The 24,863-nt window shown below is 43.0% G+C and overlaps 1 long non-coding RNA gene across 2 annotated transcripts, besides 1 other annotated feature; it reads left to right on the top strand.

Annotated features, from left to right (window-relative positions):
* Positions 1-3,878: 3,878 nt before the first annotated feature.
* LOC105372016 (uncharacterized) lies at positions 3,879-23,689 on the top strand. Of its 2 annotated transcripts, XR_935276.3 has the most exons (4): positions 3,879-4,162; positions 14,429-14,461; positions 22,193-22,297; positions 22,895-23,689. It is a non-coding gene; the product is annotated as an uncharacterized LOC105372016 (long non-coding RNA). The 2 variants fall into 2 exon arrangements; XR_935277.4 differs by lacking the exon at positions 14,429-14,461 and having other exon boundaries at positions 3,880-4,162.
* Positions 17,727-18,324: an enhancer, noted in NCBI's record as "OCT4-NANOG hESC enhancer chr18:19490742-19491339 (GRCh37/hg19 assembly coordinates)". NCBI's record gives its function as "activates a minimal SCP1, AML or CMV promoter by ChIP-STARR-seq in primed H9 embryonic stem cells {active_cell/tissue: H9 hESC(primed)}" and the evidence as "EXISTENCE:reporter gene assay evidence [ECO:0000049][PMID:30033119]".
* Positions 23,690-24,863: the final 1,174 nt, after the last annotated feature.

Here is a 24,863-nt window from a genome sequence, read left to right on the forward strand (position 1 = left end):
AAGACCAAGTATATTTCCAATTATACTACAGTTTCCAATTATTTTAGGTATATAACTAGAAGTGGAATTGTTGGGTCATATTCACCATTTGTTTAACCTTTTGAGAAATTGCCAGACACAAAAGGCCACATATTGTATGATTTCATTTATATGAAAGTGTGCAGGCCAGGCACAGTTGCTCACGGGTGTAATCCCAGCACTTTGGGAGGCCGAGGATGAGGTCAGGATTTCGAGACCGGCCTGGCCAACATGGTAAAACCCCGTTTCCACTAAAAATACAAAAATTAGCCTGGTGTGGCGGCGCATGCCTGTGATTGCAGCTACTTGGGAGGCTGAGGCACAAGAATCACTTGAACCTGGGAGGCGGAGGTTATAGTGAGCTGAGAGCGCGCCACTGCACTCCAGCCTGGGCAACACAGCGAGACTCTGTCTCAAAAAAAAAAAAAAATCCAGAATAGACACACCTATTCCATAGAGACAGAAAATAGGTTTCAGTAATTGCTGGTGGCTTGGGGGAGAGGTTAACGGGAGTGGCTGCTAGTGGGTACAGGGTTTCTTTTTGAATTGAGGAAAATGTTCTGGAATTAAATAGTGACATTGATTGGACAACTCTGTGAGTTTACTAAACCCCACTGAATTGCACACTTTAGAGTGGTGAATTTTATAATATGTGAATGGTACTTCAACTTAAAAAAAGAAAAAGAATATTAATGACCTTCACAAGTATCGTGCTGAGTCTGTCCCTGTCAAGGCTCCTATTGAGAAAATTTAAAGTTTGGCTTGGGGCTCCAAGTCCCATCTTCACCTGATGCACTTGTTAACCAGGATTTATTTAGTTCCTCTCTTCTCAGCATCAGAAACAGGGCCTGTGTCTGGTCATGGTCTGTCTCCTCCAAAGCCTTCACAGCAGACACGGAGCTTTGTTTCTGTGTGGTATATTCACTCCTTACCCCTGCTAAACGAAGGCAGGGACTGGTTATTTCTTACGTATTTATTTATTTTTTTGAGACAAGAGTTTCGCTGTGTCACCCAGGCTGGAGTGCAGTGGCTGTGATCCTGGCTCACTGCAACCTCCGCCTCCCGGGTTCAAGTGATTCTCCTGCTTCGGCCTCCCGAGTAGCTGGGATTACAAGCGTGCACCACCAGGTCTGGCTAATTTTTGTATTTTTGGTAGAGACAGTGTTTCACCGTGTTGGCCAGGCTGGTCTTGAACTCCTGACCTCAAGTGATCCACCCACCACAGCCTCCAAAAATGCTGGGATTACACCGTGCCCAGCCATTTCTTATTTTATTGATTAATGAGTTGGTCCTTAGCATCTTCCAAAGATGACCAATATGTTTTTTAAAAATAACAGTACAAATCTAAGGATTTAAACATGTTTTAGATGTTTCAATGTATTTCAGTTCTTGTCTTCACTGATGCTCACATTGCCCATCTTTGGCTAGCAGACACTCATTCAGCAGTCCTATTGACACAAATCTGTTAATCTTTGATGGCTTTCTTGTTTCTGAAATGCCTGACCTGAAATAAAACATTGCTCCAAGAAGTCCTGATTCTGTTTAAGGAAATGACATTTAGAGATCACAATGTGGGTATCAGGGGCGTCAGTGCTACTGGGCTGGTCATTATTTCTTAGACTTTTTCTTTTCAGTGGAAAGAGCTAAGAATGTTTTCTGTTTGTTTGATTTTTTTAAAGAGACAGAGTCTTACGCTGTTGCTCAAGCTGGAGTGCAGTGATGCAATCATAGTTCACCGTAGCCTTGAACTACTTGGCTCAAGTACTTGGCTCCTTCTGCCTTAGCCTTCCAAGTGGCTAGGACTACAGGTGCGTGCCACCATGCCTGACTAATTTTTTATTTTTTGTAGAGTTGGGATCTTGCTGTGTTGCCAAGGCTGGTCTCAAACCCCTGTCCTCAAGCAATCCTCCTTCTTTGGCCTTTCAAAATATTGGGATTATTGGTGTAAACCACCAAACCCAGTTGGCTAAGAATATTTTAAAGAAAAAAAATAAGTGAGTTCAAACTGAACTTTGCAATTCAAATTCAGGACTGCTTACAACTTTATTGATTTTTTTTTTTTTTTGAAACAGAGTTTTGCTCTTGTTGCCCAGGCTGGAGTGCAGCGGGCACTCCAGCTCACTGCAAACTCTGCCTCCCAGCTTCAAGCAATTCTCCTGCTGCAGCCTCCTGAGTAGCTTGGATTATAGGTGCCAGCCACCACTCCCAGCTAATTTTTTGTATTTTTAGTAGAGATGGGGTTTCATCATGTTGGCCAGGCTGGTCTCAAACTCCTGACCTCAGGTGATCCACTTGCCTTGGCCTCCCAAAGTGCTGGGATTACAGGCATGAGCCACTGTACCCAGCCACCTTATTGATCTTATACCTACATTTCTTTTTAAAAAATGTTTTAAAAATTATTTGATTTATTGTACAATAACAATATTAATGTTATCAACAATATGATTTCCGAAAAGTTGAATTTTTTTGTTTGGCTCTATCATTAGGGTGTATCTAACTAGAGATAGATCATCAAATTATCGTGTTTTACAGTCTGTTGGTATAGTATCTGTGTAGTTATGCTATCAACTGGGTGCAGAAGTTTAATTTTACTTTTGGATATTAAGAATTATTTTATTAATTCATTTATTAATTTCATTTTAAATTATGAAAAATATGTACACTGTTCCAAAGTCAGTTCTCCAAAACAATATATTCAAAGAAGTCTATCTTCCTATTTTTCTTTCTTTTTTAAATGATGATAATGATTATTACCCAGACTGCTCATCTGCAAGGAAGAAGTCTCTCTTCTATCCCTGTTTCTTCCACTCAGCTCCTCATTCTCCTATAAACAATAGTATAGTTTATTAATTTTTTAGTAGAGACAGTGTTTAATGTATTTTTAGTAGAAAAATACACTGTTTTTTATTTTAATATTATGAAATACACGCATGTATGTATTGGTATCTCCTTTCTTTTTAAAAACATACATATAGCATACATGATGACCTCATCTAACTTTTCACATTTTAACAACGATGACTTTTTTTTTTTTGAGACAGGTTCTCACTCTGATGCCCAGGTTTTGCTCTGTCGCATTCTCTGGAGTCCAGTGGCGGGATCTCAGCTTACAGCAGCCTCAACCTCCCTGGCTCAAGAAATCCTCCTACCTCAGCCTCCCAAGTAGCTTGGGACCACAGGCGTGTGCCACCAAGCCCGGCTAATTTTTGTATACATACATACATATATATAATACATACATATGTTGTATATATTTAAAATATATATATATATTTAAAATATATATATACATATATATATATTTAAAATATATATATACATATATATATATTTGGTAGAAATGGGGTTTTGCCATGTTGGCCAGGCTGGTCTCAAACTCTTGGACTCAAGCCATCTCCTGCTTCGGCCTCCTAAAGTTTTGGGATTACAGGCGTGAGCCACTGCGCATGGTCAATAATGACTTTTAATATCTTACTATACATAGAAGAACTTATTTTTTCGATTGCTCTGTAGCGGGAGACAGAAAAAGGAAAAGTCGGAGATGCTGCCATTCCAGAGCGGGGGGACCTTGGGAAGGAGGCCTGGGAGGTCAGGATTCTGGGCTGCACTGGCTTAATGAGTAGGGAGGTCAAGCAGCCTGGAAAGGTGTGGGATTCACTCCAGGGGTCTGGCCAAGTGGTTCCAAGCCAGGCAGTTCGTTTTCCTCTAACCCAGTCTCTCCAGTTTAGTTGTGTCTGTTATCCTTCAGCCCCATCTCCCCTCCCCTGGGGACGAAGGCGAAAAGAGTGAGGAGGCATTGCCCAGGCCCCTGGTACCTGCCGCGGAGGGAGCGAAGCCGGCCTTGTGCGGTCTTCCCGCGCCCCTCCTCTCCATCTAACCGTGGAACCGCCCTGCTCGGGAGCCCACTCCCCTGGAGGGCCGAGGGCGTCTTAGGCCAGAACATGAGGAGGCTGGATAAATGGGAATCGTCTCTCTCCAGTCGCAGCAAAGAGAATTTACTTGCGTAGGACCCTAGGCATTTCCTACGGGAAAAGAAGTGAAGACACGCCCGAGCTAGGCTGCCCCGCCCGCTCTACAGAAGGGGTGGTGCTGTCCGTGACCCCTCCCAACCCTCTCCACCCCGGAATGGCCTGGCCTGCACGAGGTAAGCCGGGCTGTCTGGACAAGAAGTGGTTTCCATCTGTGTATACTGTCAGAGACTATGTCAAGCCTGGTCTCTGCTGAGGAAATTGTTCTTTTAAAAGAAACTTCTGTTTTTTTTTTCTTTCAAAAGATGTGCTTTATAGTAGTGTGAAGTAACTGTCGAATGAGTATCATGATACTGAGTAAATATGGCAGCATCATGTTTAACGATAACAACAGACACTTATTTAGCATCCACTGTGGGCTGCGCACGGGCACTTTATATACACCATCTGATTCAATCATTAGCATTATGAGTTTCATTTCACCTGTGAGGATAGGGAGGCCCAGGGAGTTAAACAGATTGCTTACAGTCTTTCATTTGCCAGTAGCTGTGCTAAGATCCAAAAAATTTTTTTCTTATCTTTCCTCCCTCCCTGCCTGCTTCCCTCCTCCCTGCTTTCCTTCCTTCATTTTGTTTTTGAACACCCAAAGCCCATATTCCTGACATCAAACTCCTCCTGCCTTTGATGAGAACTCTGAAGAGTGTCAGGAAAGAAGTTGATCTGAGAAGTAACTGTAAAGAGTTTCGAGTTGAATGGGAAGAACTCGGGCAGTTAGTAACCTACCTCACCTTTCTGTTCCTTGAATTTTTCGGGTGAAGGACTGCAGGAGAACATGTTCCCCAAACTGGGATGTTTATTGGATGCACCAACCTCTTCTCCCACAAGGGGTCAGTAAAATCCCCTTAGTGAATAGAATGAAGCCCTGCTCCTCCCTGGCTTAGCGTTGGGGCAGTGAGGATCATTGCATTGGTGAATGGACCTCTGACCTTTACACGTTCTCCTCTCCATCACCTGGCTTTACTCAAGCTGAATTCATCCAGCGCTTGCACTCCATCCTCATGCTACCATGTGGTGGGAAACAAAGGGACAGAGAGCTCCAATTCATTCTTTTTTTTTTTCCCTTAGGGTTGGGGTCTTGCTTTTTTGCCCAGGAGGGCATGCAGTGGCATGATTATGGCTCACTGCAGCCTCAAACTCCTGGGCTCAAGCGATTCTCCTGCCACCACCTCCTTTCAAAGTGCTGGGATTACAGGTGTGAACCACCGTGCCCAGCCCTAATTCATTCTTTACTTTTAGTTTAGAGTAGTGTTTCATTTAAAAATTGCTGTACATAAAATATAATCACAAATGATTTCTCAAAATTCTGTATCTTGCAATTATTGTAACTGGATAAGGGTTTAGAACAAGAGAAGACATGTCTAAGTCTAATAATAATATAGTGAATATTTACGAAGTGTTATGAAGCGGCACTTTCTAAGTGTCTTATAAATGATAGAAACTGTGGGTCATGCTTTACGTGGCATTTGAACTCTGGCATTCTGGTCCCAGAGTTCCTGGCCCCTAAGCATCATAACATACTGCCTGTCTACCAGAGAAACAAAAATCAGTGTTTTCCATGGTCCTGGCAAGGATGATTATCAGTTCTATAAGCTAATATGGACATTCAGGAGGTGGATCAAGGTTTTGTGAGGCCCAGAGCGTATATAATTTGGGTGTCATCTTTAGGAAGATAACAGAAAATGACAAATACAAATGTATATGTGAAAATAAATTTTTATTTAGAATGAGAAAATAAATCACAACTGATCACAATTAGAAAAAAGACTACAAATGTCTCCAAATCCAGAAAAAATGCACATTTTTATTACTGAGCCCCCTAACGTATCTAATGCTTCTTTCCCCCATATCTTTAGCTTTATACTCTTTGATTGTCTTTCAATGTGTCTGCAATTTTCTACAATCATTTTTAGTAGAGAAAATAGAAATGTAATTCAGCTGTTCCTATTAGCGTGGTTGCTTGGTAATTATTATTGATGGTTGGGATGCATAACACATAGGATTTCACACATGACTATAACTTGCTGTTTGTAGTGCTTCTGCAGTTTTATCCCATACCTATAGAGAAATTCTGAAAATTGTATTTTGTGTGATCCCCTCCAAAAAGAAAAAAAGCAAAGTTTGTTCATAATTGTATGTGCTGTATTATCAGGTATATTCGTTTTTTTTTTTTTTTTTTTTTTTTTTTTTGAGATGGAGTCTTGCTCTGTCACCCAGGCCGGAGTGCAGTGGCACGATCTCAGCTCACTGCAAGCTCCGCTTCCTGGGTTCACGCCATTCTCCTGCCTCAGCCTCCAGAATAGCTGGGACTACAGGCACCTGCCACCACGCCCGGCTAATTTTTTGTATTTTTAGTAGAGATGGGGTTTCACCATGTTAGCCAGGATGGTCTTGATCTCCTGACCTCATGATCTGCCCGCCTTGTCCTCCCAAAGTGCTGGGATTACAGGCGTGAGCCACCGCACCCGGCTAACATATTCTTCACAGGAGACAAATTCCATTTTGATTAGTTTTTTTCTTTTAATTTATTTTTTAAATAGAGATGAGGTCTCACTAAACTGCCCAGTGTGGTCTTAAACTCCTGGGCTCAAGCCATCCACCTGCCTCGGCCTCCCAAAGTGCTGGGATTACAGGTATGAGTCACCATACTCCGCCATTGACTAGTAGTTGTTAATGGAACCTTTGGCTTACCATTTTCCATGTCTGACAGTTGGAAGAATTTTTCACAGACCACCTTCTGGCTTGATTCATTTCAAACCTTTTTCCTCCACAATCTATGTACTTCTCATGCCAGATGCCATAGGACACAGTGTATAGGGATAGCCCTGGTTCTTCCCGTCATAACACTAGGCAGGGAGTGAGATGAGGGTGCTCCTAAGATAGCTTAGTAATAAGTAATAAGTGAAGAATTCACAGAAGTAATTGTAAGCCACATAAATGTATCCAACAAAACCCCAAATAAATGTACCCTCAATGCATTCTCATCTGCCTCAATGTACCTTCAGATATGCCCATGGCTGGTCCATCCCACCTGGCACAGGGAAAGAGTGGAGAAAGGAAAGTGAGAGTAGAAACAGAAAATAGTCATAACTGATAGCAGTTAAATATATTATTTTTGGCTGGGTGTGGTGGCTCACACCTGTATTCCCAGCACTTTGGGAATACAGCCGAGTCAGGAGGATCCCTTGAGCCCAGGAGTTTGAGACCAGCCTGGGCAATACAGTGAGACCCCATCTCTCTCTCTATATATAAAATAATTAGCCAGGCATTGTGGTGTGTGCCTATAGTTCCAGCTACTTGGGAGGATGAGGCAGGAGGACTGCTCAAGCCCAGGAGGTTGAGGCTGCAGTGAGCTGAGATTGTGCCACTGCACTCCAGTGTGGTTGACAGAGTAAGACCCTGTCTCAAAAAAGAAAAGAAAAAGAAAAAACAATGTAATCATGCAAATGTGAAAACACTGCTGGACCCTTCCCAAGCCTTGGAGGGCCTGTGCAAATGAGGGTCCTGCAGCCTAAGCTGCATTAACTTTAGGGCCAGTCCCTGTATGGAACATCCTTAGAGACCTAACTCACCCACCAGCCTGAGGCAGCTCCAGGGGAGTGCCAGCAGACAGCAGAGCAATGATCTCACACCCATGGCAAACAAGGACGCGTTGTCCACCCACTAATAGGACCTCACCACCTGCAGGCGGGCAGATCCCAAGGTTTCCTGATATTCCCTACTGCTGCAGTCTCTGCTTGGGACAAAGTGCATTGCTTTTGCCATGAGTCACTGTGCCAGTAAAAAAGGTTAGGGGACATTCATGTCACAAAAGCAAGCGCTCAACTGGGACCTGAGAAGAGACAGCCTTCTTGGGTCACAACTGTCCACTTTCTCCAGGTGATATGGTTTGGCTCTGTCCCCACCCAAATCTCATGTTGAATTGTAATTCCAGTGTTGGGGGAGGGACCTGGTGGAAGGTGATTGGATCATGGGGGTGGGTTTCTCCCTTGCTGTTCTCGGGGTATGAGTGAGTTCTCACGAGATCTGGTTGCTTAAAAGTGTGTGGCACTTCCTTTTTCGTGCACTCTCTCCCATGCTCTGCCATGATAAGACGTGCTTGCTTCCCGTTCACCTTCCGCCATGATTGTAAGTTTCCTGAGGCCTTCCAGCCATGCTTCCTGTGCAGCCTGTGGAACTGTGAGTCAATTAAACCTCTTTTCTTCATACATTACCCAGTCTCGGGTAGTTCTTTATAGCAGTGTGAGAACGGACTAACACACCAGGGCTCGGGGATGATGAAAGCTTTGCTCAGGCTCTTCCCTTTCTAAATCTTCCCCATCCAGTGCACATCCCCATTCTGACCCCCAGCCATGAAACCTTCCCAGCAGCTCCGAGGCCCGTGGATCTCTCCTGCATCTGAGCTCTTACAAGTTTAAAAAAAAAAAGAAAGAAAAAGAAATTCTGAAACACATATTTGTTAAGCACCCATTCTGGGCTAGCCTGCAGTTAAATCTTACTGAATTGCTTACAAAGCATTTTGCGTAAGCAGATCTCTGTTTAGTCAGATTATAAACAAATTGGTGACAGGGACCAGAATTTCTTGCTGGCAGATCCCAGTTCTGGGCTTGTCAGCACTGAATAAATACTGACTTGATTGATGTAGCTTTGTCTCCTCTCTGAGGACCAAAGCTCTTGGCAGCTTCCTCCTAAGTAGGCTGGGGACTCCCTAACTGGGTGGAGAAGGTAGGGTTATCTCCTGCAGAAATTTTAATGGAGTTCCCCCAAATCTTGCTAATGGATTCTTGGACACTCTGCAGCCTGTAGTGGAAGCAACTTTTCTTCTTCAGTAAACTGATTAGAAATTTGGATTTTTAACCAAAGTAGAAGTCTAAATCTAATTTACTGACCCTTTTCAACCCCACCCCAAATTCCTTACTTTGTGAGCTAGCAAGGTTTGAGAATGTTTGGATCAAACTGAGTATCTCATAATGCAAGCATGCATGGAGTCTCCTGGCTGGTTTTACTTTCACTTATCTTGCTCCCGTTCTGGGGGGCAGTGCAGAGAAGGGGAAAGATCAGGCTTGAGTCTCCCTCGATCTGGATTCAGTCAATACTGGCTCTGCCCCCACAAGCTGTATGAGACCTTGGCCTAAGTCATGTCACCCTCCCAGCCTTCCTTTCCTCTGCCGGAAACAGGGGGTGTCACAGAACCTGCCACATTCAGCGGCTGCGGGATTTATTTTGTAAGGATTCAGGAGGACAGTGAGGATGTGGCTGATGAGTTTGTTCCCCGTTTGTGCAGGTTCTCTTCTCTGGCTCCCAAAGCCAGTAGGTTTATTTCATCTCAACAAATGCTTGAAGCAGACACAAGCATTTGTTTCTACGCTAAGCTTCAGAGCTCTTAAACTTTCTTTTTTGAGGCAGGGTCTCTTGCTGTCACCCAGGCTGTGGTGCAGGGACATGATCACAGATCCCTGCAGCCTCCAAACCCTGGGCTCAAGTGATCCTCCCACCTCAGCCTCCCAAGCAGCTGGGACTATAGGCATGTGCCAGCACACCTGGCTAATTTAAAAATATATATATATATTTTGTAGAGATGGGGTCTCACTATGTTGCCTATGCTGGTCTTGAACTCCTGGGCTCAAGCAATCCTCCCGCCTCACCCTCCCAAAGTGTTGGGATTACACACATGAGCCACCACGCCCCGCCATATTTTCTTGTTTATTATTGGTCTCCCCCAACTGGAACACACATCCTGTGAGACTAGGGGTTCTGTCTCTTTTGTACACTCATGTATTTTCAGTGCTCAGAAGGGTGTCTGGCACATGGTGGTAGGCATTCATTAAATATGTGTTAAACATTGGACTAGGTGAAATAACATGAAATTTATGAAATTCCTATCATAAATCAAGGGACCATGTAAAAGTGGGTTGCCACCCATGCAACAATAGCTAACAATTATTACTTACTACAGCTAATTATTGTTGTGTTAAGGGTTTACCATACATTATTATCTCATTGAATCCTCATAACACCAATGAGAGAAAGACCTATTATTATTTGTCATTTTATCTATTGATATTTGTTTATTTGTCTATTTCTATTCTTATTTTTGAGACATGGTCTTGCTCTGTCACACAGGCTAGAATGCAGTGGCATGATCATAGCTCACTGCAGCCTCGACCTCCTGGGCTCAAGTGATCCTCCTGCCTCAGCCTCCCATGTAGCTGGGACCACAGGTGTGCACCACCATGCCCGGCTAATTTTTTTATTTTCTGTAGAGGTGGAGTCTCACTGTGTTGCCCAGGCTGGTCTCAAACTCCTGGGCTCAAGCAATCCTCCCACCTTGGCCTCCCAAAATGCTGGGATTATAGGCGAGAGCCACTGTGCCAGCTGATACTTATTATTTTTAGTAAAAGAAATTATTTTTATAGTAACTAAGGTGCCAATGAGAAAGACTGAAAATAGAATTAGCTGGTTAGAATGTTACAAACCTTGGCCAGGTGCAGTGTCTCACATCTGCAATCCCAGAGCTTTGGGAGGTGGAGGTGGGAGGATCACTTGAGCCTGGGAGATGGAAGCTGCAGTGAGTTGTGATTATGCCACTGCACTCCAGCCTGGGCAACAGAGCAAGATCCTGTCAAGAAAGAAAGAGAGAGAGAGAAAGAAAGAGTGACTTGTCATTTTTTAAAAAATGACACTGCGGTGTCAGCATTGTGTCTGTTTCCCCAAGCCTTCTTCTATGAACGAGGCTGGGCTGGGCGTGAGGACAAGGTGTTGTGTAACGTGAATGGTCCCCTTGCAAATATGCTGGCCTCTTGTTCACTCATCTCCCTCTCCTCCTAATCTTCTAATAACTTTATTACTGGGAAAAAGGCCAACTAGGGAAAACCCCACTGGCGGCCTGAGGATTCTTGATCTGAAGGGGGCCTTTGAGATCACGGGGCCTGCCTCCTGCCTTTGGTATGGGAAGAAATTCAGCCCTCAGGAAGGCAGTCTCCACATGGGAGGGCATTTCTTTAATTAACTAAACTCCTTGTCCAAAATCAGATGAACCATGCTCTTCATCTGTGTAACCTGAACTTCATAAGCTACTTGATGACAGTAAGGGACGAGGGGCCATGCTACCTCTATTTTAGCTGACCTTTTTCTGCAAGGCTCACCCAGGTGTTTTACTTGGATCCTTTTAAAAAATATCTGGAATCCTATTATTTTCTTGAGTGATATGTGGGTTCTGTTCTGATGACAGCAAAATCATAGCATTCTTGGTTAAATGAAGTGATGGAGTTTCACCGTGCAGTATTAACGGCACCTCTTCCAAAATCCTGCTGCCAGAATCTATTATCATGAGTCAGAAATCCCAGCCTGGTCTGGAAACCAGTTTTAGAAAGATTTGCAAGCAGCAGGTAAGACGGCTTTGTTCAGGAGAGGGGCACATCTTTCTCATTTGTGAATTATATGCAAGAAGGGCAAAGAGGAAGAGTGGAGAGAAAGGTCTCAAATTACTTTTTTCCTTCTTCATTTTTATTAGCTCAAGAAATATTGTTTCATTTCAAAACGTGTGCCTGCTATTGTTTTTGCTGAATAAATGAAAGCAATGATAAAATGTCTGTTATGTCTTTCCAGGATTCTCTCTATTGTCAGGAGCAGGAAAAGATCTGAATTTCCCATGAAATGCCAGTGTCAGCATAACATGGTGGTACTACACAGTGCCACTCTATCAGGCATATCCTGGGCCTCTCACAAAAATATTATTTTAAAAAGATATTCAGAATGCTTCTGGTGCCAAGTAGGTGCAGCGTGGATACTCTGTGATGATGATGAACAGCCTTCTAAGTGCGTGTACTGAGTTTAAGAAACATAACACCACAGCACGTAAAATCCCGTGCCAGATCTCACACAGCCGCCAAATCACATCTGCCTCTATCTCTCTGGATGATCCTTCTCCAAAATCAAGGCCTGGCACCTTGCCCTGAACATCAGCCAACTGGACATTAGCAGACCAGGACGGAGAGGGAAATCCAGTTATGTTCCCCTATAAATCTCAACCAAAGCCAAACCTTGATTGTCAGTGTTTGTGGGCAGTGGAGGAAGGGTGCCCTAGGGAGTGAGTAGGTGGAATTTGCACATAGACTCAAATCTTATATTTTGCATTATTGAACAAAAAATACATTGTTTCTACCTTCTCTGCTTTTGAACACATTGATGAAAAGGGCTAATACATAACAACAATTTTCTATCTTACTGAAAGTTGACTTTCTGGGTGAGGGGCTCATGAATGAGAAGTGAAATGGTCAAAAGAGGGGTATCCAAGTAGAGCTGAAAAAGCAGGGGGGCCGAGGAGTTATCTGATGAGGAAAATGAATCCCTGGATAATTGAGAGTTAACTATAGAACTGGTTTCTTTTATAATTACTACAGAGTCAGCTTCTATCAGGCAAAGGGTGTAAGCCAGATGCAGAGATGAAATTCGTATCCAGAGGTTCAAGTTAATATTTAAGTGCCTCAGGAGGCTAAGGTGGGTAGATCATCTGAGGTCAGGAGTTCAAGACCAGCCTGGCCAACATGGTGAAACCCTGTATCTACTAAAAAATACAAAATTTAGCTGGACGTGGGGGTGGGTACATGTAATCCCAGCTACTCAGGAGGCTGAGGCAGGGAGAATTTCTTGAACCCAGGAGGCGGAGGTTGCAGTGAGCTGAGATAGCACCACTGCTCTCCAGCCTGGGCTACAAAGTGAGACTCCATCTCAAAAAAAATTAACTGCCTCAGCTTAGATACCTTAATCCTTAAGTAAGGAATTGCGTATTTAAAAGGCAAATACTATATACATATGTGTAAGTAAATGCCCAGAACACGGCCTGGCGGGACAAACACCAAATAGCTGACAGGGGTTACAGCTGGGAGGAAAGGTGAGGCTGGTTAGGGGTAGGGGTGGGAGGGGAAAAAGAGGGTGCTTTCAAAAATAAAAAAAAATTATAATTATTATTTTTTTGAGAGACAGGATCTCACTCTGTCACCCAGGCTGGAGTGTAGTGGCACAACCATAGTTCACTCCCGGCTTGAGCTCCTAGGCTCAAGTGATCCTGTTGCCTCAGCCTCTTAAGTAGCTGGGACTACAGGTGTGCACCGCCACACCTGGCTATTTTTTTTTTTTTAGTTTTTATTTTTTGTAGAGATAGGGTCTCAGTATGTTGCCCAGGCTGGTCTTGAACTCTTCGTCTCAAGTGATTCTCCCGCCTTGGCCTCCCAAAGTTGGGGTTATAGGTGTGAGCCACCGCGCCTGGCCTGTTTAAATTTTCCGATAAGAAAGTATGCATGTAAGAAAGATTTTGACAATTTGTTATGAAAGTGAGGTATCTTGAATGGAAACTTCTAGAGGGCTGGATGTTTCCCGTATACCCAAGTCCTGGGCACGTCAATATACATGCTCTGACCCAATCTGAAAGCACATTTCGGAAGTTTCTTTTTGCAATTATATTTGTCTAGCTGGGATAATTTTATTTGCTGAGAAATCATTTGCAGTATCATTTGTGATTTGACATTTACGGAATTCTTATTTTCTGATAGTGCTTTTAGTTTACTTTCTGTTGCATTAGTCTTGAAAGGTACATATATAGGCTTTTCTTTTTTTTAATGGGTAAATAATTATGACAAAAAGATGAAAAAGATCTTTTCAAGGTCTTATGTAACTGCAATTAGCAAAGAGTAGAAATTATTGCTTATGCCTTTACCTTTTTCCTAATGCTTTCCTTCCCGATCTGACTCAATGATTGCAGTAGTGTCTGACTGGATCTCCCTAAGTTGTTTGTTTCCTAAATGTTTGGGAATTTTAAAGTGACACCTCTTCACTAGTCAGGACTTGGGATGGATGACTAGGGAGGTGGGTCTTACCTTTCTTCCAGTTTCTTTTGAGAAAGTTTCCCTGTGAGCTCCTCAGGGTTCCTCCACCAGAGACTGACTCAGGGCCTAGCTACATGTGCAACTATTAGGATGATGCTTGGGATGGGGCAACATGGGTGACACGGGTGACAGAGGGTGACACTATTCAGAAAAATGACTTCCGCCGAGGAGGATCTTAGAACCTGTTGAATTTTTGGAGGGGCAAATTGATATGTCTCATTTCTGGACAATGTGGACATTGCTTCTCTCTCTTACCCAGCTCAGACTTCATAAATTCTGGGAAAGGACAATGACTCTTAGAAAGTGAGAGGAAGATGAGTTGATATGTTTTCCCCTCAACTAAGCAGCCTATGTTTTCTTTTTGATATGAATTAGGATCTGGAATAATATGACAGTAATTATAATACGCAGAAGAGATTATGCCAGTCAAATGAAGATTCATTTTCCCCTTCTTTCTTTATTCTTTTTGTTGTTGTTGTTATTGCTGCCCCATTGGAGAAGAGGAGAAAAATCTCAACAGAGAGGCTTTGACAGGTACAGTATAACTTATCAGGCTTTAAAGGAACTAGCTGAGGTTAGCCTTAGTTCAGATATGTCAGAGCTGTCAGAGGCCAGCCCCGAAATCTGTAAGACATTACAGACTGAAAACTCAGCGAGGACGGCTGAAGGGCTCAGCGGGAATTCCAACACACACATGAGCCTGGAGTATCTCCATGCCTCGACCTGACCCTGGATAATACTTGGAGTTTGCTTCTTGTTGTTGTTGTTGTTGCAGGATTACTAAGTTCTTCGGGTTTTGGTTCTTTGGCTCCTGAAATTGGTCCATCACACTTGGGGGACAATTCATCATTGCGTAGGGGGAGTGAGGATGGCCTCTGTGGACAGTCCACCCCGGGCAGCTTGAGTGTTAGGGCTTAGCAAGCAGAGCCAATGCAATCCTCTGGGTTAGCAAGGGAGGGGATGAATGTGGGCACGCAGAGATAGCGTCTGCAGATGCTTTAAATGGTTAAGATGGTGTCAGAGATGTCAATGCAAGTAAACTCTTGGGAACAAAACAGAGCTTTTTGAAATATGGCTTCTTTCTCTATCTCGCCCACCCCAGGGTGAGTGAGAGCATGGAATACCCACTAAAGAGGCAGAAAAAAAATACCTTAGTGGAAAGAAATGGGATTTGGAATAGGAACTGTGTGCCAAATTTACCAGAAACCACTTAACCCCTTTGACCCCTGGTTTTCCTATATGTATGCATATTTTTGTCTTGGCTTGGCGTGGTGGCTCATGCCTATAATTTCAGCACTTTGAGAGGCTGAGGTGGGAGGATTGCTTGAGCCTGGGAGTTTGAGACCAGTCTTGGCAACATAGGGAGACTCCATCTCTACAAAAAATTTTTAAAAAGTCTCTACAAAAAATTTAAAAATTAGCCAGGTATGGTGGCGTGCACCTGTATTCTCAGCTGTTAGGGAGGCTGAGGCAGGAGGATCACTTGAACCTGGGAGGTGGAGGCTGCAGTGTGCCCTGGTCATGCCATTGCACTCCAGCCCAGGCAACAGAGCAAGGCCTTGCCACAAAAAAGAAAAAAAAATTGTCTTAAAAAAAAAAAGAAAATCCTATGGTGCAACGTGATGGATTTATTTCCTGTCTGTATAATCTTGGCTTTCTCACAGTTGGTCTATTTCTAACTAACACCCCAGTTCATGTAACTTCTCTTAGAGAGAGAGCTCACATTGCATGAGACCATGCTTTTATTATTATTTTTTAATTTAAAATCTAATAATCTTTGTTTCTGTCTCTCTCTCTTTCTCTGTCTCTCTTTTTGATTGTTGTTCTTTTATTCTTGTTTATCCAAAAGTCAAATTTAAGATTCCAAAGTGCTGCTTCCAGGCTGGCCCTGAGAACTCACTGCTGGTTTTGTAAGGAATACAGCAGAGGTCAGGAGATAGGAAGGGTGAAGTGGAAGGAATTTGCTCAGATCTACTCTTGTTTTATTTTCCATGGAGTTTCACTGCAGTTTGTGTTTTGAATACAGTCAGTTACACAAAGCCCCATGAAGTGAGGATATAGGTTGGTTGGCTTGCTTGTTTATGTCTAGGAAGCCATACATTTTGTACTTTAAGATAAAAATCTCCCCTTTTTTGGATGAATGTGCGCTTTCAGTAATACATCCAGGCTACAGAGGACGTGTGAACTACACATAAAATAAAACCAATTTGCTTTCCTTTTAAAAGTCAATTAGTTCATTCTTCCATTTGTCCCCCGTCCAAAAATGCACTGACATTTCCTTCTTTGCATCATAGAAGGCCCAGCTTCTTTCTATCTACCCTAGTCCCACTATCCTTCACAGTCCTAGCTCCATGAAGCCATCTTGCTCCCAACCAACTCATGGAGCTCTTGTTATAATACCTGGCACATAGTAAACACGGCAGAAAGCTCAGCTGTTACTCTATGACTAAGTATTGCAAAGGACTCACAACTTACTCCTGTACCATTCACTGGCATAGGAAACACTTTTATTAATGTTGTGTTATTTACTTTCCCCCTAGAAAGTCTCATTGAGTTGGTAAGTAGTAGGGTCACTGCTTTAAAAAATAAAATCTCCATACAATTCTCATGTGTAGTCAGGGTTACTAAGCACTGATTTTTTTTTTTTTTTTTTTGAGACAGAGTGTCACTCTGTTGCCCAGGCTGGAATGCAGTGGCACGATCTCGTCTCACTGCAACCTCCGCCTCCTGGGTTCAAGTGATTCTTCTGCCTCAGCCTCCCAAGTAGCTGGGATTACAGGCATGTGCCGCCACAACCGGCTAATTTTTGTATTTTTAGTAGAGACAGGGTTTCACCATGTTGGCCAGGCTGGTCTCGATCTCCTGACCTCAAGTGATCTGCCCACCTCGGCCTCCCAAAGTGCTGGGATTACAGGCGTGAGCCATGGCGCCCGGCCAGCACTGATTTTTAAAAGTACTCATGTGGTTCTTCTCACTTCCAATTATGAATGTCTTCCCTCCTCCATTCACTTTAAAATACCCAAAGGCAGAGAGGTACATTGTTTACGCTTCCCTGTGTCTTCCCCAAAGCCCTGCGTCTGGAGGCCACTGTCAAGCTGAAAGGACAAGGTGAGTGTTCTGTGGAGTCACCTACATTTATAGGGAGAAAAATCACTCTCCATGAAATGGTTAAGACAGAAATGGGGGACCGGGTGCGGTGACTCGCCTGTAATCCCAGCACTTTGGGAGGCTGAGGGGGCGGATCACCTGAGGTCAGGAGTTTGAGACCAGGCTGACCAACATGGGGAAACCCCATCTGTGCTAAAAGTACGAAAGTTAGCCAGGCGTGGTGGCGCATGCCTGTAATCCTAGCTACTCGGGAGGCTGAGACAGGACAATCACTTGAACCTGGGAGGAGGAGGTTGCAGTGAGCCAAGATTGCGCCACTGCACTCCAGCCTGGGCGACAAGAATGAAACTCCGTTTCAAAGAAAATAAAAAAGAAACAGGTGGCTGTTGTTGATTGCAGTAACACACAGCACCGACTCATTTAATCCCACAACAATCCTGTGCTGTCGTTACTTTATGTCCCCATTTGATGGATTAGGAAAGTTGAAGCTCAGGGAAGCTATGTGCTGCACCCAAGGTGAAGCCAGATGTCCAATCTCTCTCGAGGATCACTAAACTTACTACAAGCTCTCTGAGGGGACCTGAAGATATCACACAGTAGGCACTCCATTAATATTTGGTGAAGGAAAGAAGAAATAAAAATGATAATAGTCTAGACCTGGACATACTGAATTTTCATAGAGAAGCAGCAAATCTGGAAAAATGATCTCGGTTGAATTGCATGGAACATGGCTTCTAAGGGATAGGAATGAATGTTACGGGGTTCCTTAGGGTGTGGATTGGGTGACCAGGTGTCCCGTTTGCCCGGGCCAGTCCCAGTTGGTGCCTGTTGGAATTAGAAAAGAGTTCTCTTTTCACAGGCTTTGTTTGGATGATAAGTTACATGGTCGCTCTGAGTCTAGAAATGGTATGGAAAGAGGCAGGGTCTCTAAGTGCAAAGGGGAACACAGGGAAGTAGTATTAGATTAACTGGCGCTTCCCTGAGGTCAACTTCCTTCCCTTTGTAATGCATGAGTGTTAGGATGGTTCAGTGCTGTGTGAAGACATGGTCTCTTGCCTCTGCTCTGCGAAGTGGATCCCAGGCATCTTTTCTTTTCTGGGAGCTTCCCAGGAACTCTGGTAGGTTTGGTGACTGCATGAGATTGCCCCGGGCAGTTGAGATTTCAGCTATGCTGCCTCATCACCCTCAGAAGCCCACCGATGGTCATCATCACATCTGCTGGTTTTAGGTCTGAAAATACACACAGTGTACTGATGTGCATAAGGTTATCACCCAGAAAACCAGAATCCTCGCCTCAATACTTACTAGTTTTGTCACTTTGCTTGTTCTCACTCTCTGTGCATAAAACCCCTTCTTTGTAAGAAAATTGCAAATAATATTAACCATACTGATGTTGTAGGGATGCTGACTTATAGTAAAATGATGGGAAACCACTTTACAAATAATATTCCATGTAAAGTTTCAAGGGCAATTGCTGGCATGGAGCATGTGCCAGGTATAGCTCAAAAGTCAGGTTATTATCCTAAAGCCTAAATTCCCTAGAGATGACCATGACCTTGCTTCCCATTTACTTGCTGGGTCGAAAGAGCTTGAGCTCTTTTGCAAACTCATCTGAAGATATATGTCCCTGAACATCGCAGAGGCCAGGTGTTTTCCACAGATCAGTGGAATTCCCCAGCTGCAAAACTTCCTTCCACTACCGTCTGCCACAGCGTGAGGTTGCTGACATTCAGGAAGACATCTTAGGGGTCTCTCTTTGCCTTCATTGGCACATTCAAGGTGGGAGAAGAGGGGAGATTTTATTGTCATCCAGGTGTTAGAGGCTATTGTGAAAAACCTCTATTTTATTAATGTCGGGAATGACATGCTGTGTATTTCAGCCTGATCTATATAAGATAACTTGTTGTGGTAATTAAATTTTATTTTAAAAATTGCAGAGAATATGAAAAATTCTTTTTAATAGACTCATTTGACTTAATTTCATTTTTTACTTTCCAAAAAAAATTATTTTTTAGGGACAGGGTCTCCCTCTGTCACCGAGGCTGCAGTGCAGTGGTATGATCATAGCTCACTGCAGCCTCCCAACACCTGGGCTCAAGCAATCCTCCCACCTCAGTCTCCAGAGTATCTGGGACTACAGACTTGTGACACCATGCACAGCCTAATTTAATTTTCAAAAATTGTACATTTTCAAGGTGTACAGCATGATGCTTTGATATACATGTACATAGTTAAATGGTTCCAACAGTCAAACCAATTATTAGGTTGGTGCAAAAGTAATTGCGATTTTTGCCATTGACGTATCAGAGCCGTTTCTGCTGCAGCAGGTGAAGTGGATCTTTAGCCTGCCTCCACAGAAGCCTGTGTGTCTTGCTGCTAAAACCAGCCTACCAGTTTCCTAGAATCACAGCCTCCCACACCAGTGACCCTGGCTGCTGCAGCCTGTGGGGGTCACTGTGGGCTCTGTATTGGGAAGGCTGGAGGGGATGGGATTTGGAAGAAGCAAGTAGTGATTGGAAGTGGGTAGTGCCCAGGGTGTGCTAGGGCCAAAAAAGCAAAGGACTAGGAGGATCCAGACTTCAAGCTGATTGGGAAAATCCCATGTCTCCCTTTTCCTTTTAGATGTCTGTACCTTTCACTCATTTTTGATGCTGGTAAAAAGAAAACCAGAGCTGGCCATTCCCAAATCCTTTACAACTGCCCCTCCCGGGTTCTTTGTGTTTGCAAATGTAAATGCTAAAGGTCAGCAGGGTTTAAAGCACCTTTTTACCTCCAGCCACTTCCTTGCCCCTTAGAGGCCCAAGCTGGTTCTGAAAAAAGTGTCCAGCAGGGAAAAGCCTGCACCAACCTACCCACCATCACCCCAAATAAATGAGGGCCCAGAGCTTTGCATTGCTTGCAGCTTCTGTGCCTGACAGGCCTGCACTCTGGGTTTTGGAGAGGCCTTATTTCCAGCTGGTTACTAAGGCTGGTGCTGCCTCCAGGTGTGTTATCAGGAGGAGGACAGTTTAAATAGGGCTTATCACTGTGTATTCAATCAAGGTTTATGAGGACTGATAAAGATGTCACCTAGTTGCTTCGTGTGTTCATTAAAACTCTATTCCCTGGTGGGGATAGAAATGCAGGGGGGTTTGTTTTAAAAATTTTTAAACAAAAATTTTGGAACAACTACATGTTGTTCTTTTGATAAAGATGGCGCTGTGGTCAAGCCCATCTGTGTGATCAAACCCACAAAGGAGTGAAGGCAGTCCTCTCGGGCACAGTGCATTCGACCTCCACCTTCCCCGACAATACAACAGTCTTTAATACCATAGGTTATCATAATTGCTTATTTAAGAATTCAATGAACAGCACCACCCTTGGCCTAGGTGCAGCAATAAGCCATTGTGTGCTTTTAATTTTGTGTCCTTTTATATTACTGGATCATTATAACAAAAAGATATTTGTTTTAGTGTTTTATTTTAATAAAAGATTTCTAACTAAATGTGTTTGCCATAGTCCCCCTTTCATAGTCCCTCTTCCTCTTCTACTAGATAGAAAAAAAAAAGCAAAATAGCCCATATTTCCTTTACTAAACCCATAAGTTTGTACATCTAACTAGAGCTGCAGGGAGCATAGTGCAAGAAATGGGCGCTGCTCTGAATGGCTTTGTGTTCTGTGAGCCTAATTGCTGCTTTATAATGAGACCCAGTGTCTCTCAATGGCTCATTGAATATATTTTCTGTTTAATGTTACTAAAGAAGAATTGCAGAATGGAGAGTAAAAAATGTTTTAACTTTTCGGGGTTTTTTCCCCCACCTCCAGTTCAAAAGGCACCATTGCTTGCTGACATCTTCTATCTCCAAACCTATTAACGCTATATGACTAGTTAAAGATAGGGATTTGCTAGCAGGCTACATGTAGACTTTACCTGCATTCTGAACATTTTTAAAAAACAATGTTCAAGTTTACTAAACAAATATTTAAGAGTATTATAATTTTTTTTGAGACAGAGTCTCACTCTGTCACCCAGGCTGGAGAGCAGTGGCATGATCTCAGCTCACTGCAACCTCCGCCTTCTGGGTTCAAGCGATTCTCCTGGCTCAGCCTCCTGAGTAGCTGGAATTACAGGTGTGTGCCACCACACTGGCTAATTTTTGTATTTGTAGTAGAGATGGGCGTTCTGCATGTTGGCCAGGCTGGTCTTGAACTCCTGATCTCAGGTGATCCACCTGTCTCAGCCTCCCTAAGTGCTGGGGTTACAGGTGTGAGCCACTGCACCCAGCCCATAAAATGTTTAACTTTCATCAGCTTCAAGGTTTATGTTTCTCCCAAATTTTGCATACAGCTGAACTTTCAAATCTGCTGACACCCACTGAATTGATTCCACTCTGGATTTTAAGGTGTCAATTTCCTCTTGCATGTTTCTTTGCTTCTTCTAACATTTCTTGTGTTTCTTCTTGAGAATGGCTAATGAAAACATCACCAATTTGATAAGGTATCATTAAACAGTCATCATCTGCAAGCATGAGGTCATCACAAGCATCTTCTAAGTTTTGGAGTTGCTTCTTTTTTACTTCTGATGAATGTTTTTGTTGTTTTTGTAGAGGCAGGGTCTCCCTCTGTTGCCCAGGCTGGTGTCAAACTCCTAGGCTTAGGTGATCCACCTGCCTGGCCTCCCTAAACACTGGGATTACAGGTGTGAGCCATTGCACCTGGCCTTCTCTGATGTATGTTGACCATTAAATATAAGTGTCTTGGGGGATAAAATTACTTGCTCGTTTAATGTTATTTAAATTTGATTTTTTTTTATCTTGAAACTTGTGGACATGCCTTATCTCCACCACTGGGGGTCAGGCTCAGTATGGGGAATTTCTGCTCATTCCATCCCACAATGCAGTTCTTGGGGGCAGCAGAGGGAAGAGGAGTTAAGTAGACTGAATAATGAGGAATGATGGGAAGGTAGAGATGGTGGGATGGGGAGGGGTTGAGAGAAGCTGAGAACTCAAAGGGAAGACTGGGAGAACTGGGACTGCAGGGAGAAGTTAGGAGGGGGTGACATTCAGGTTCAGACCCCAGGAAAATCCTAATGTTGAGGGGAGGGATGCTTATGACTTTTTTGTGTCTGATGATGGCCAAATGCTGCAAGGTCCTTGATGAAATTGCTAATTCTCTTAGGTTGCATCTCCCCAGAAGACACCGAAACAAGGATTTCAGTGCAAGTTGTTTCATGGGAGACTTCAAGAAGCATCAGGGTCGATCCCAGCACTTTGGGAGGCCAAGGTAGGAGAACTGCTTGAGCCTGGGAGTTCGGGACCAGCCTGGGCAACAGAGTGAGACCTCATTTCTACAAATAAAAAAATTAAATTAAATTAAAAAATAGAAGCATCAACAAGAGAGTAGAGAAGAGATACAGGGGAGAGACGGAAACCAGTGGAGGATGTGATCTTGAGCAGCTCCTCTTGTGGGCGACTGGGCCTCAAGCTCCCTGGGGGGCTCTCGGAATTGATGAAGAACCAGTCTCAGAGTCTCTTTCTTGAAGAGCGAGGAAGCTGAGGCATTTGATCACTAACTCCTTCTAACTTGTCCTCATCATTGGCTGACAGCTACTCCCAGGGGTAGCAGCTCCCTGGAATTTCTGACTTGCCTTGTGAGCAGCATCGGCTGCCTGTGGGATGCAGGAGGAGTACAGGGGACTGTGGGCACGGCACTGACGGCGTCCGCAGCACTCGTGTCACCTTCTACCGTATGCATTTGAAAACACTTGCCATCACTTATTAATATGATTTATTTATTGTGAATATCATACTGTATTTATTAATTCTAGGATGGCTCTCTGCTTAACACTTCTTAAATTAGAACACCTCTTATAATTCACAGGACATCTTTCAATGGCTCCTGGCCAACTGGCAGCAGAATTTTACCTTCCTGTGCATGAATGACCTTGGATATTATTCTTGGTGGCATGACTGGACACCTGCAGCCTCTTGATGTTTCCAGTCAAAAAGGTATTTAAGAGCCATTTGTCAGGCGGACCACTTGAGCCCACGAGTTTGAGGCCAGCCTGGGCAGCATAGTGGCACGCTGTTTCTAAAAAACAAAACAAAACAAAAACAAAACAAACAAACAAACAAACAAAAAACGAAAGAAAGGAAGAAAGAAAGAGAAAAGAGCAGTAATATCTTCATCACTGGTCATTGGTCATTGTCTTTAAAACAACTTTCCATCGATATCTTCTGGGGAGAACAAGAGAGCACTAGTGTCAAAACTTCAACCAGCTTGGAAGAAAATTCTGGAGATAAGAGAGCAATAATTTTTTAGGTTGAATCACATAAGTTTGCCATCTTTTGGTCAAAAACAGTCTAATGAGCAATTTCACTTGGTTCCACTTACAAGAAAAGTTCCATCTCTAACACTCTTGATGGGACTGTGTGCAGAAATAAGGGCATTGACAAGTCGGAATTAAAACATAATCTAGAAGGGTTGCATTCTGAATATAAAAAGTTTTAGGAATATTTAAACCAGTTTGTTTTACTTATATTTTCCTTCTTTATACATATGACAAGAGTAATATTTTTTAAAAAATTATTTAAAGGCCTATTCATAGCTTGAAAAAAAATTCTTGCAGTAAAAGCATTTGCAAAAATATGAAATAAAATTTGACATGACAAGGAAGCATTATATCATTAATTGGCAGCTTTTCTTCCTTAGTGACGTAAAATAATGACATCATAACAATCAAGGAGTGTCTCAGATTTTGTGAAATATGATTTATCCCGCCATGGACCTCAGAGGCAGAGAGTGAGGTTGATCATAATTCTTGGTTTCAGGTCATATTTTCACCAATGGTTTGTGCTAGACCTATCTCTGATTTTGTCATTGAATATTGGGTGATAATTATCTCAGTCATATAGATAATAGAAGTGAGAAATGGGGATAAGAGGGAAAATTAGGGTGAGATATTCTAAAACCTTCTTGGTTTTAGACATTGCAAATATCTTCTCCCATTTCATCTTTTAACTTCATCTATAGTATATTTTGTTAAACAAAAATTCCTAATTTTTATGTAATTGAGTTTTTTAACATTGTTGCCTGGGAGCTCATGTTTTTGAAGTTTTGTTTAAGGAGTCCTTTTCCTGTAGGTCACAAAGATTTTCTTCAACATTTTCTTGTTTTGACTTCATAGTTTTATTTTTCATTCCTAAATTTTTTAGTCCGTCTTGAGTCCACCTTTGTTTGCGATGTTACGTGGGATTGAGTTTTATTTTTATTACAGTAAAAAAGTTTCCCCCAGGCTTCTGCTAAACAGACTTTCCACCATTCACTTATGGTGCCACCTTTATCATATGTTAAATTCCCACATATGCATGAGGGTATATCTGAAGTCTCCTTCAGTTCCATTGGTCAGTTTGTCTGTTCATGAGTACATTACCACACTGCTTTTATTATTATAGCTTTTAAATATATCTTAATATATGCTAGAGTATGTCCCCCTCTTCAATCTTATATAAAGTCAGTTAAGACTTTGGGAGGCTGAGGCAGGCAGATCACTTGAGGCCAGGAGTATGAGACCAGCTTGGACATATGGTGAAACCCTGTCTCTAACAAAAATACAAAAAATTAGCTGGGCGTGGTGGCACACGCCTGTGGTCCCAGCTACTTGGGAGGCTGAGGTAGGAGGATCATTTGAACCTGGGAGCCAGAGGTTGCAGTGAGCTGTGACTGCACCACTGTACTCCAGCATGGGTGACAGAGTGAGAACCTGTCTCAAAACAAACAAACAAACAAACAAATAAAGTTAATTATGTATTTTTGGTGGATACTTCTTCCATATAAATTTTAGAATGTG

Source organism: Homo sapiens, chromosome 18 (assembly GCF_000001405.40).
Source record: "Homo sapiens chromosome 18, GRCh38.p14 Primary Assembly".
Lineage (NCBI taxonomy): Eukaryota > Metazoa > Chordata > Mammalia > Primates > Hominidae > Homo > Homo sapiens.